Source organism: Homo sapiens, chromosome 16, assembly GCF_000001405.40.
Source record: "Homo sapiens chromosome 16, GRCh38.p14 Primary Assembly".
Lineage (NCBI taxonomy): Eukaryota > Metazoa > Chordata > Mammalia > Primates > Hominidae > Homo > Homo sapiens.
This window is the reverse complement of record NC_000016.10, coordinates 25,419,694-25,433,910: the sequence shown is the minus strand read 5'-3', so window position 1 is coordinate 25,433,910 and position 14,217 is coordinate 25,419,694. Positions and strand designations below refer to the sequence as shown.

Here is a 14,217-nt window from a genome sequence, read left to right as displayed (position 1 = left end):
GAAGGAAGGAAGGAAGGAAGGAAGGAAGGAAGGCAGGCAGGCAGGCAGGCAGGAAGGAAGGAAGGACGGAAGGGAAGGAAGGAAGGGACAGACAGACATGGAATGCAATCCGTACAGATAAACAAGTCCACCCAGAAAGGTCACAAGGGCAAGGGATAAGTAACAATGAACATGGAATTTTGCCCATCCTTATGAACACCTGAATTCTATCCACTGATCCCTTTAGGGTCCATGAGCCCCAAGCGGAGATTCCATCTAAACCCCTGCTTTAGATGCGGGCACTGCAGAGCCACTCCAAGTCATTTGTTCCAAGACCATGTGTTAAAATAAGCCTATTTGTTGAGTGGCATGAGGTTAAAGTTAGTGTCTTATTTATGTTTGTGTCACTGGTACCCAACTAGCACATAGCATATGGTAGGAGCACAGTGAACATAGCAGGGATATACATGCAGTGTTCGAGATGCTGGCAGGGTGTGAACAGGGTACCAGAACGTGGGCTTTATGTAGGATTAGAGTTAGAAGCATTAGCAGCTGAAAAATGGCAGGAAAATGATGAAATCTGCATGATGGAAAAAGGGGGTCAGAGATCTAAAGTCTAGATGAATGCAGAAAACAGAGCACTCAGGAATAAGCTTCTGCTCACCACTCCTGGAGAAGTGTGACATACATGCAAACTTCTGCACATCTGGGACTGAAGAAGTAGATCTTTCACCTTAAAATTACCCACTGATATCCACTGGGAGAGAGAACTCTCTCTGATTTGATGCTCAGCAAGAGTGACTCTCATCTCCAGGATTGCTGGTGGGAGGTCAAGTCTTCCTCCCCAGGATGCTGCACTTGGATGGACTTGAAAGAGTTCTGTTTGTTCCAAGTAAGTTCTCTCCATGCACCTGAAGTCACTGTGCCATAGCCTTCATGCAAATTATGCATATAAGCAAAGAGATTTCCCACAAAGGGTGTTGTTTCCCTTTCAGAGGCAGAAAGCACATTCTTTCCACACTCTGGTGGCCCCGGGCCCAGAAGGCACACTTCTTCACAGCGCCTTCCAACCGTGTGGGGAGCACTGAAGTGGTAATTACCTTAGAAAGTGGTTTTTCCCAGTATTCGGCTGCAGAAAAATAACACGCCGCCTCTCTTTCCGTGCATCTCATGGAATTACGTAAATAGACCCAAAGCAAACCAGTCTAAATGATTATAAGATGGATTTCTAAGTGGTACCTGTTACCAGGCACAAATACTAAAAAACATCCTGCTCTTTCTCAGCCACCAAGATGAAATAATAGAGTTTTTAGTAAAGGATTCTCTCTAGTGGATAATTCCTTCTGGGTTATCCGGCTTTGGTGACTTGATAGAGACAACAGTCTCACCCGAGTATACAGGAGAGATGTCTTCCTGGAACTCTGGCCACATTTCATGAAACTAGATGAGGAAGAAACTAGATAGGGAGAATGTAAAAGTGACTCAACAAATGGAAGAAAGGTTCTCAAACTTTAGCACACATAAACTCACCTGGAAGGGTGTTCAAATACAGATTTCTGCACCCAGCTCTCAATGACTCCTAGGGCCCAGGAATTTTCAAGTTCCCAGCTGATTCTGATACTGGCGGTCCGTAGACCACTCTTACTGTGTGGCTTTTGAGGATTGCCCCTCCCTGACATTTACCGGGACTGTCAAACTAGGGTGCCTGCCTACTCTACTAGAAGGGTGGGCCATGAGCCAAGCTGTTCAATCAGCAAACCCTATCCCACAAAACCCAAATTCCTCCAATAGTGGGCTTGAGGTCAATCAGAGCCCACGTAGATGTTGGCAAAGAGACACTCTTTCCTTCTTTCCAAGGTCCTTGGTGCTAAGGACTATGTAATTCTGAAGCTACAAGTGCCTTTCTTTGTAGCCCATTGAAAGGAGACTAACACAGAACCATATAGAGAAAAGGAAAGAAGGAAGGAGAAAGGGAAGGAATGAGAAAGATCTGACAATTTTGTCCAAAGAAACCCCTGGAGCCAGTCACACCTAAACACTAGTAGACCCAGAACTTTGCTGGTGAGTCAAGAAATTCACCACCCTGCTCCCCACCTTTTTTAAATCTGAAACATTTTGAGTTGGTGTTTCTGCTTAGAACAGACAGATTCCTTACTGATACGCTTTCCTTTCAGCGTCTATAAAAACATCATTAACTTGAGATTTCCGACAAGGACATCAGCACTGGGTGAAAAGACGCACACATATCCTGACTCAAGGGCCTGTAATTCTATCCGTGACGTGGTTCTCCAAGTCCAGCTTTGTTCATCCCAGCTCAGATTCCACATTTGTCAGGCCCATGCTCCTTAGCCTTTGAGTTTCAGAATGGCTCTCCTAAAAGGAACACTCCTATTTGTCCAGGTTGCGATCTCATATTCACTCTGGGCCAGACCAACTACACAACTCCTTAATTCTTCAGTTGGCCGGGAGTGAGGTTCCAGGATGCCACAGCCCTGGGCAATGAAGACAACAAGTTCATCTTGAATAGATGGATCTGATTCACCTGACCTTAGGAGGAATACACTGAATTATTTTTCATGCTAGAGCATATTCCCAGGTAAAATACTTCTAATGTTACCTACACCTGCCAACCCTAGAACCAACTTCCAACATCAAAATAGGAGGGACACCATGTTTCTGATACCCCAGGTCAGTGTTTTCTGGAAAGTTCCATCTGCTGCCTGTTATTACTTATGCTGAATATATTGCTAACCCTGCTGTTGCTCTCCAAACTGTAGCCCCTTAGTCTCAGCCCCTCTCTCGGACTCCTTTAGTGTAATTTCTCTGTATCTTACTCCGAAAATACTGTAACATCATCATCAGTGTTCCTTCACCTTCTCAAACTCCTTCCATCCTGTTCTTGCCTCTCTGCCCCGGTCAACTTCTTTTTTTTTTTAATTTATTTTATTTAAAGAAAAGATCTCACTCTGTCACCCAAGCTAGAGTACAATGGAGCAATCACTGTTCACTGCAACCTCCAACTCCTGGGCTCCAGCAATCCTCCCACCTCCGCTTCCCAAGGAGCTGAGACTACAGGTGTACATCACAATGCCAAGCTCATTGTTCAGTTTTTTTTTTTTTTTTTAGAGACAGGGTCTTGCTATGTTGCCCAGTGTGTGCTCTCTGAAGACAAACTCCCAGGGTTCAGTACCAGCTGTACTTCTTATTTATTACTGAATCTCTTTGGGATTCAGTTTCTTCATCTGTAGAATAGAGATAATGCTAATCATCATGATATTTTATGCAGATTTTTGTGTGCTTGAAATGACAATCTAAATAAAACATTCAACACAGTTCTAGGCACATAAGAAGCATTCCGTACATGTTAGCCACTACTGTGGTATAGGAATATCAGAAAAATCTCACTTCCCTAATCAACTAGCCAAAAAGCAATGTCCAATTATCTATTTTATTTTATTTATTTATTTTTTAAGAGAAAGGATCTCACTCTGTCACCCAAGCTAGAGTACAGTGGCACAATCATGGCTCACTGTAGCCTCAAACTCCTGGGCTCAGGCAATTCTCCTGCTTCAGCCTCCCAGATTGCTGGGACTACAGGCACACACCACCATGCCTGGCTAATATTTTAAGTTTTTAAAATTTTTTATAGAGACAGGGTCTCACTATGTTGCCCAGACTGGTCTGGAACTCCTGGCTTTAAGTGATTTTCCTGTCTTGGCCTACCAAAGTGCTGGGATTAGAGGCATCTGCCACTGTGCCTAGCCTGTTCAATTATCAAACTTCACAAACTGTTGTCATCTTTAATTTAACATCAGAGTGTTGAAATTTTATCTTGTTCATTCTTTCAACTAAGATATGTAACTTCATTCCTGATACATTGCAGGTACTTCATAAATGTGTTAAATGAATGAATCAATAATAATAACAATCATTTAATGAGAACTTATTCTGTGCAAAGCACTTTACATATTTTATGTAATCATCAAAACAAAACTGCAAAGCTGGTGTCACTTTCCCTTTTGAAAGGTGAGGAAAATTAAGGATCAGAGAAGTTGAGTAACTTGCCCAAATGCAAACAGCTAGCAAATGGACAAACTTTTCCCACAGCCTCAGATTTTTCCAACTTCTTTTTGACTCATGAACCTCTCTCATAAATAAATATGCTATTGTAGGCCCGGGTGTGGTGACTCATGCCTGTAATCCCAGAACTTTGGGAGGCTGAGGAAGGTGGATCATTTGAGGTCAGGAGTTCGAGACCAGCCTGGCCAATGTGGTGAGACCCCCGCCTCTATTAAAAATACAAAAAGAAATTCACCAGGCATACTGTCACATGCCTGTAGTCCCAGCTACTCAGGAGGCTGAGGCAGGAGAATCACTTGAACCCAGGAGATGGAGGTTGCAGTGAGCTGAGATCATACCATGGCACTCCAGCCTGGGCAACAGAGTGAGACTCCATCTCAAAAAATAAATAAATAAATAAACTATTGTAGGCCTTTAGGAATTTTTGGATCATTTCAGCATTGACAAAGAAGCGACTTTTAATAGAAGGTTCTATTATAGCACTATATTATCAAATAGTATGCTGTAAAGATCATGTTACAATCTTTATAATATTAAGACAAATTTTGACTTGTCCCCATTTAACATGTGATGTAAAGCTGGCAGATTTAGTTTAAATTATTTATGAAAGAAAAATGTTTGAGTTTATTTCAGGAAGGAATTTTACTATGTTGCAAGACATTTAAAAAAGACAAAAGCTCCTTTTATGAACCGATGTTTGGAGTTCTAAATTTTGTGCTGATTTTTTGTAACACATAATTGTTCTAAATGATAAGATGCAAGAAAACGTTCCAGATGACATTTGCAAGCACTTTTCTACAAATAACACATTGCAGGTGTGGATAGCCATTATTCTTAATAAATGAAAAGCCAAATTGGATATAATTGTCACTATATTTTCTATTTTTAACATTAGCGTTGAAGGATATTTCAGCATACCTTATAAGACTTTTTATCAGATAAATGCAACTTTCAAATCTGGTGAAGGTCAGTCTGAAGTAAATGTGCAGGTTGATTATCATATTTTTGTTCCTCATTAACTTGCTGCATTTCAATAGCACTGTTCTGTATACTTCCTGTTGTCAAATCTGGGTCTTATAGGTGTACACTAAATAATCTATGACTGTGATGAAAACAGCCAAACTGTCTCAAAGTGACCCCAGAAGTTCATGCTGGATTGCCTTGGACAAAGAGATAACTAAGACCAGACACCTACCTACTCTAGGTGAGAACGAAGGGCCATGCCACAAGACCAACAGCGTCTTCCCCAACCTTGGCAGAAAGGACTTATGACTTGGAGTCCCCAGGGTCTCCAAGTGCTGAGGGCTGGTATTGCCAGACAAACTCCTGTCAACAGCTGGAGCAACTTGTGTTCTGTTTATTCCCCCACTCACATGTCTGCCTACAGAAAGAGCAAGCAATAAGGGAATGGGTCCCTCCACTAGAATGTAAAGTCACATGGCATGTCTAGGACTTTCTGGCTCCATACCCTCTGCACAAGTCTTTTAAACTGGAAACAAAGTGTGCTTATTTTGCCATAAAATTAAAAGTGCCTCAGTTAAGCTTAGTCCCCAAAGATCTTCTGCAAAAGTCTGAAGTGGTGGGAAGAAGAAGAAACAACAGAACAAGACTTGGAGTTGTTCATGCATCTAAGACTTAGGTTTGGGCCAATGCAATAAGACATGAAACATGTTTGCAGACCTAAATATTAGAAAGGAAGTGACAAAATTATGATTATTTGTAAATTATTTATTTGCATACCTATGAAGTCTAAAGAACATTATAATTGATTTTTAAATGAACCAAAAGGATAGATGCAGGGTAAATATATAAAAATAAATCATATCCCCACTCACCACTTAAAAAGTATATATAAGGAAAAGAGAAATTCTATTCCCAACATAATTGAACCACAGCAAAAAAAAAAAAGTTAATAAATTTTACCCCCCCAAAAAATGCTACTTATAAAACTATATTTCTTGTTATGTGTGTAAATAACCCTTATTAAATGTAGCTACAAATTATACCCCTGGATAAGAAAGCTAAAAATATTATAAAATGTAAATTTATAACAAAGTAAAGTGTAGAGACAATTTAATTATTATTCTTACAGCTCTCATAACAAAGGATACTCTCATTATCCTTGTTTTTCAGGGGATAAAACTGATGCTAAGAGATATTAAGTAAGTTGCCTAGAACAGTTAGTAGTAAAGGTTGGATTAAGTCAGACACCAGAGCATGTATATTTAAGAACTCTGCCATATTGCCTTCCAAATCCATGTCACATCCCCATGAAATGTCTTTCTTGGTACAGAATTTCATAAAAACTTTTAATCTTGGACAATATAAAAAAAAAGAAATGTAATGGGAGATCAACAACTACTTCCACCAGATGACTGAAATCTATTAGAGGCCCTCAATAATTAAAATAGCAGAGTACTAGCCAGGCACGGTGGCTCACGCCTGTAATCCCAGCACTTTGGGAGACCAAGGCAGGTGGATCACGAGGTCAAGAGATCAATATCATCCTGGCCAACATGGTGAAACTCTGTCTCTACTAAAAATACAAAAATTAGCCGGGCATGGCGGTGCACACGTGTAGTCCCAGCTACTCAGGAGGCTGAGGGAGGAGAATCGCTTGAACCCAGGAGGCAGAGGTTGCAGTGAGCCGAGATCTTGCCACTGCACTCCAGCCTGGCAACAGAGTGAGACTCCACCTCAAAAAAAAAAAGTAGCATAGTAGTAGAGCATGAATGGAAGAGAGGCCCAATGATTGCCAAGATCTAGCTGACAGTCAGGGTGGTGGTGGCCAAACTGCACCATGGGGGGTGGTGGGGCATCCAGATTGACAGAGCAAAACCCATAGGAGGAACTCATTATGCAGATGGCCTGGCAGGGGAACCAAATTATGGTAAGGCCAAAGACAGTGGGCAGAAAAAGGTAGGCAGGAGAATTCAGCTCCTTGCCTCTGATGATACTGAATGAAAAGCTCATTTTGTCTGAAATGTCTTGGTCACAGGAATGGCTGAAGCAGCAGGAGCTAAAGCCAGTGGGATCCAGTGAGTGGGCTGGGTTGAAAGGGAAGATGAATATTCTGAGATCCACAAAAGAGTGGGAAAACGGGAATATGCTTGCCTGGAATGCAATACAAGCCAAAGAGGAGCCTTCTATGGGGAAGCTTTCTTTTGTCTCTGGTTGTCTATGTCCCTAAAGGGAAACAGCTTCATTTCCAATCACTACAATAAACTGAGATCCACCACGGCTTATCACAGGGTGAAAAGGAGGGATCATATTTCAACTTTGGGCTTTCTCTTCAAATAAGGTTAATAAACAGTCTTGGAAAGAAGCATATGGTGGAAAGGAAAATGTTTATGTTAAATTTTAAACTTGTTTCTTTGTGCTGGATATCTTCCCATTCTCCTGTAAATTCTCTCTCCCCTTCTCCACCCAGTCAGGACTGCTAAAGGCTAAGCTGTGTAGATGTCATACCAGACCCCGAGACCAAGGCTGGGGCTAGGGTAGGGAGAGTGAGGCATTGAGGGTGGAACATTTAAGAAGGCTGTCATTCTCAGGGCTGTGCAAGTGCTCCATGCCCAGTCCTGACAGTGAAGGCCTCCTTAATTGTTGATCCCCAGATGTGTCACTCACCGTATCCTTATTGGTTCTATCAGTGGGGACTTCCTTCTGGTAGGAAGTCAGAGACAGGGTCAACTATGAAGTCAGGTTGATGTAGGGCAGGCAAGCCCCAAAACTGGAGCTTAGCCTGGGAAGATTCTTGGCTTTACTCAGGAAAGAATTCAAGAGCCAGCCAGTGGTAGAAGAAGACAGTTGTATGAAGGCAGCAGTGTTACAGCTCCGTTGACTGCTCCTGCAGAGCAGGGCTCCCCCATCCTAGACAGTGTGTGGAGAGCAGCAGCTCAGGGGCAGGTCTCCAGCCATATTAATACCCATTTTTAATTACATGCAAATTAAGAGATGGGTTATTTCAAAATTTCTAGAAACAGGGTGCCATGGAAAGGGGCAATAACTTTCAGGTGTTGCCACGGCAATGATAAACTGTCATGGCACTGGTGGGCGTATCTTATGGAGAGGTGGTGGTGGTGCCTCTTCCCTGTTTCAGCCAGTCTTAGTTCTGGTCCAGGGTTGAGTTCTGCCTCCTACCTTAAGGTTATTTGTTTCCCTGGTTGGCTGCAGCTCCTGACACATCAGTGCTGCACCCAATGCCCTTGCCATACAAAGCTCTTACTTTAACTTGTCCCTTAGAGCCTGGAGGTGGTAACTGTTGTCTGCTACTAACCTAGATAATTACACTGTCTTCTGTGGTTCTTCTACACCCAAACATCTGTAAATAAGCCCTTTGTAAATAAACTTTCTTTGAATAATCTTCTTCTGAGTATGCCATCTTCTTTCCATAGAGACCCTGATAAATATATGTCCCTCATCCAGGCTCTGCCATTTGTAGAGTACTATGAATTAATATTTTATGAGCCCTGTAATTATCTTGTGAATAACCCAACTATATTGCATCACACATTTTTACATTAAATGCATTAATTATGTATATGGGCACATTTCTTTTTAAATACCACATTTTTGGGGCATGGCTGTTTTGGCCTCAAAAAAATTAAAAGTTGTCCTGGCCTTTCCTAATGCCCATTGAGACCATGATGTCGACAAAGCAGCAGTGATGGATAATGATTTAGAAAACAGGCTTAGAATTAGATATACTTAGATGCAAATCCCAGCTCATCTTCTTCCTTGCTGTGTGACTTTGGACAAGTTGCTTGCTCCAGTGGGTGTAGAGACTGCAGCTGTTGACTTTTTTTTTTTTTTTTTTTTTTTTTGGTCCTTCTAAAATTGGACTTTCCTTCTGAAAATATTTCCCATGCCAGGCCGGGCACGGTGGCTCACATCTGTAATCCCAGCACTTTGGGAGGCCGAGGCAGACAGATCACGAGGTCAGGAGATCAAGACCATCCTCGCCAACACAGTGAAACCCCGTCTCTATTAAAAATACAAAAAATTAGCCAGGCGTGGTGGCGGGCACCTGTAGTCCCAGCTATTTGGGGGACTGAGGCAGGAGAATTCCTTGAACCCTACAGGCGGAGGTTGCAGTGAGCGGAGATCATGCCACTGCACTCCAGACTGGGCAACAGAGTGAGACTCCATCTCAAAAAAAAAAAAATTTCCCATGCCAGTTTCCAGGCTCAACTCCTATTTGTGATGTGACCCCAATTGAGACACCAAGTCTTGTCTCTTTAAACTGAAGCTCTCAGCTCCTGGGAAAAATCACACAGATCTTCAGCTTCCATATTCGTTAGCTCACACCTTTCCTTGCCAACTGACAGCAAATTGTATGCACCTGAAGGGAGCAGAGTTGGAGACCGACTCCAAAGGGGCAAGATGTCTAAAACAACAAAACGTGAGTTATTTTTGCAATGTTTCTTTTTCAGGCCCTCCCACTCCCTGTAATATCTGGCTGAGGTGTGAATGGCTGACTCCAGCAGGTATCAGGAACAGATGGAACCAGCTAATTATGTCTCTTACATGTGAGTAGAGATAAAGCTGTTAATTGCTAATTGTACACTTCTCCCATTTCCCACCCCAGGGCGCTGGGGCAGAGACCACGTCCTAAACCCAACTCAAATGTGGGCTGTGCTCTTGGCTGAAGAAAAGCATGGAAAGCAGTTGGGGACCTGCATCCCCAAGACTGTCAGCCCTTCTCCAGGGCTAGCAACAAGCAGAGTGTAGCAGTGAGAAGATGCTCTTGGCAGGCTCCAGATAGCTGTGCCCTCAGCCCAGGAGGACTCAGCCAATGAAGACTCAGCTAATGAAAGCTCAGCATGGAGGTGGCAAAGGGCTGCAGCCCCACCAGTAAGTGATATCTGGTAATTGTTTCCAGTGTGCTCCAGGGTCAACTTAGTTCCCCAGAACCCACGTGATCCTGAGATCTCTAGGCTTCTATGCAGCTCCTGACTGGACACTGAAAAGCACTATAATGTGGAATCTTCCTCCATCTTCCAAGCCTTAAGATCATGTCTTGTGATGGTCACAGGATTTTAAGCTAATCAGCATCTCTTTTAGGAAAATATCCCTACCCCATTCCCAGTAGATGTGAGTTGACTGTGGTAGTATGTGCCTGTAGTCCCAGCTACTCGGGATCCTGAGGCAGGAGAATTGCTTGAGCCCAGGAGGTGGAGGTTGCAGTGAGCCAAGATCACACCACTGCATTCCAGCCTGGGCAAGAGAGTGAGACTCCGTCTCAAAAAAAAAGCAGACTTACTTAGATACCAACAGGCATAATCAGAGAGATGGCCCGATCATATACTGCAATGTAACAGAATATTCCATTCCCATGGCCACAGTAATTGGTTTAGGGAAGGTCAGGTGACACTAATTTGGCCAATCTGAGGCACTCCCAAGACAAGTTAAAATTCTTTCCAGGCTGGAGTCTGATGGCGCCATCATAGCTCATTGCAGCCCAGATCTCCTGGGCTCAAGTGATCCAAGCAGCTAGGACTACAGAGGCATGCCACCACACTGGCTAATTTCTTACTTTTTTGTAAAGACAGGATGTCACTATGTTGCCCAGGCTGGTCTAGAACTCCTAGCCTCAAGCGATCCTCCTGCCTTGACCTCCCAAAGCTCTGGGATTACAGGCATGAGCCACCATGCTCGATCTGAAATTCTTGGGAAGGAAGCATTCTTCTTTTTTTTTTTTTTTTTTGCGACAGAGTGTTGCTCTGTTGCCCAGGCTGAAGTGCAGAGGCATGATTTAGGCTCACCGCAACCTCCACCTTTTGGGTTCAAGCAATTCTCATGCCTCAGCCTCCTGAGTAGCTGGGATAACAGGTACACACCACCATTCCCAGCTATTTTTTGTATTTTAAGTAGAAACAGGGTTTCGCCATGTTGGCCAGGCTTGTCTCCAGCTCCTGGCCTCAAGCAATCCTCCCGCCTTAGCTTCCCAAAGTGCTGGGATTACAGGCATGAGCCACCATGCCCAGACTAAAATTCCTGGGAAAGATACATTATTTGGAATTGCTACACTAGGGATATTGTAAGCTACCAGTGGTCCCTACCTTTCTTTTTTCACAGGTATAGCATATGCTGTTGGTGCCCTGTGCCATATCCCCTTGGCTCACCTGAGCTTACCTACAGCTTTGATAGACAGTTTCCAGCCTCAAGCATTTGCATCTTTCCTCTCTGCCTGAAGGCTTTTGCTAGTACCCAGGACCCTTCTCTGCCACCTACAAGTAGGGGAGAGCTGATGCCCTCAGGTGATCTTCAGCCAGTGGGAAATGGAAAACCATAAATAAATTCCCTAGCATCCTTGCCCTTGGCTGAGACAATCCTGAGTATTCTCAACGTAGTCTCTAACAAGATCCCAGTGTGACCTGCCCATGGGGCCACCTGCTCCTCAGTACACTTTTTACTGGTTTTTCTCCCATCTGTCTTATCCTCTCCATTTCTTCACTTGTGCTTCCTGAGATCACCTCCTGTGTTAGTTTGGTCCTTCTGTTGAGATTAGACATGTGGGAAGTTTACTGGAGAAATACCTGTGAAGGCAAAAGGAGAGGGAGCTGGAGAAGGCGGGGAGAAGCTCAGACTCCAATACGGGACTCACACTGCAGCAGAGAGAGGGAAGGAGGGATAATTGGGCAGGAAGAGACATAGACTGCAGCCTAATTCGAAGACAAGTTTGGCCAGGCCAGTGAGGGGTTCTCAAAGACACCTGTCAGAGGAGAACCACATCTTGTAGGCATGAGCCTCCCTTAGTGGCCTCACTGTGCTGTCATTAGCTGGGTACAGCCTGAGGGAAGTATGGCTTTGGTGTAAATGTGGTGTCCCAGAAGAGTAAGAGCAGGGCTATTAGTCAATCATGCCTCCTGCCACAGAACATCTGAGTGGTTCATTTTCACGACCACCATATCTCCCAAATAAAGTACTGTACCACAGGGTCTGCTTTTGGTGGTGATGGTGGTGGTCAGGGAACCCAAACTGAGATGATGAAAATCCCTGAAAATGAACCATATGTAAAAGAAAGCAAAGCCAAAGGCCATCGTTTGAGTACCTGGATCCAACCATTCCTGATGTCAGTAACCCACTGAATGTTACAGCTAAATAAGCCAATACAATTTCCTCTTGTTGTTTTTTGTTTGTTTGTTGTTCTTATTGTTGCTATATAATCTAGCTAGAGATGGATTTCTGTCAATGAGAGCCAAAAGAGTCCAGACTAACACAGACATCATAGCTATCCATTTTTACTAGTGTTGGCCTGAAATTCATTTTGCTTGCCTTGGAATTGTTAAGCCAACCATGGTGAAAACTGACTTCCCTTAGCCTTTGTTATAACCATCTTTGACCCTCTTCCTTCTCCCTGCCCAGAACAGCCAGTATGTCATCCAGATGGAACTCTTCAAATATGGTGGAACACATGTTTATCCATCCATGGCTGTACCCCTGACTCTAGATCACTGTTTCTCATGATTTATAAAATAAGTGCACAGGTGTTTTGTGGAATGCTGACATGAGCACATAGGTCCTCTCTGAGCCATATCAGGCAGCCAAGGAAAGGAATCAAGATGCCTGGAGACCAACATGACTGAGGACAGCAAGGCAGGGCGATGCAGCCCAGCCTCAGTGACTGGTTCTAGAAATACAGAAAAATGGGCCAGGTGTGGTGGCTCATGCCTATAATCCCAGCACTTTGGGAGGCCGAGGCAGGCAGATCACCTGAGGTCAGGAATTTGTGACCAGCCTGGCCAACATGGCAAAACCCCATGTCTACTAAAAATACAAAAATTAGCTGGGCGTGGTAATGTGTGCCTGTAGTCCCAGTTACTTGGGAGGCTGAGGCAGGAGAATCGCTTGAACCAAGGAGGTGGAGGTTGCAGTGAGCCGAGATTGCACCACTGCATTCCAGCCTGGGCAAGAGAGTGAGACTCCATCTCAAAAAAAAAAAAAAAAAAAAAGAAATACAGATAAATTGGCAGACTTACTTAGAGACCAACAGGCATAATCACCCCAGAATCAGCGTAATCCTGAGGTCTCTAGGTACCAACTTGTGTGCAGCTCCTGATGGGACACTGAAAAGTGCTGTCATCTGGAATCTTCCTCCATCTTCCAAGTCTTAAGACCATGTCTTGTGATGGTCACAGAATTTTAAGCTAATCAGTATCTCTTTTAGGGAAACATCCCTGCCCCATTCCCAGTAGATGTGAGTTTCAGAAACATCAACTCTAAAAAAGGGGAGTTTCTTTACTAAGGATTTTACACAGTGGTTAACAAAGGACATAACACAAGTGCCCCTTCTTTCTTCTTTTGTGTGTAACTTCCACACAGAAGCTGTCTCATTGGGTTAATATTACCCAAAAACAAACCCCATTTAACAGAGAACTCAATAATAATAAGGCTGCTCTCAGTAAATGGGTTCAGACTGCAAGAGGACCAGAAATGGAAAAAGGATAATTTTTTCTTTAGCTTGATGTGCACAAATACCATATGGCTATGAGGAATGAGTACATTCCTCCTAAATGCCCAGCCAGAATGGGAAGACAGAAGCCACATGCACGTTGTACACAATGTCATTCTGCCTTGAGACATGTGCTTTCAAGTTTATGTCTGTCTTGGGAAAATAAGGATCACTTATTTTGAGCTGTAGTGATTAATTTTTGTGTCCAAATAAGTATTTGTTTGTCCTTTTGTACAGAACTCTTTGCCTCCAGGCGCTGTGGTGGTGAAGAACTGAAATACACAAACCTTGGGGCTTCCCCTTGTCCCTGAAACTGCAGAAGATGCTGGCTCGGGAGAGCCCAGGTGAGAAAGCTGCTGCAGGAGCCAGAAACTTTGGCAAAGACTCTTTCTTTGCAAGTAAGAAAGCTAGTTGGGAAAGAGGACCAACTGTTCCTTCTAAATTCCCAGGGAGTGGAGGGTACGTGAGGCCCTGTGATTCATTGGCCAGGAGTATCTGCTCCAGCTGCCAGGCCAGAGTGATCAATCCAAAAGTGCTTCTGAAAATGAGGCCAGACCCACATTAATGAAGCCTGATTGCCTCAGAATTATTGTCGGATTAATTAGCAGCTTTGCCAGTAGCCCATGTGTTCAGGGTCAGTAACAATTTATGGTGAGTCACATTTAAGTAATTTCATTCAATTTAACCAGCATTTGCTGCACCTA

General features: G+C 43.5%; 1 long non-coding RNA gene across 2 annotated transcripts; it reads left to right on the top strand.

The window, feature by feature from the left end:
* The first annotated feature begins 224 nt into the window (after positions 1-224).
* On the top strand, positions 225-14,099 carry LINC02191 (long intergenic non-protein coding RNA 2191). Of its 2 annotated transcripts, none has more exons than NR_184337.1 (4): positions 225-871; positions 2,380-2,575; positions 9,647-9,912; positions 13,751-14,099. It is a non-coding gene; the product is annotated as a long intergenic non-protein coding RNA 2191 (long non-coding RNA). The 2 variants fall into 2 exon arrangements; NR_184338.1 differs by having other exon boundaries at positions 2,154-2,575.
* The last annotated feature ends 118 nt before the right edge of the window (positions 14,100-14,217 follow it).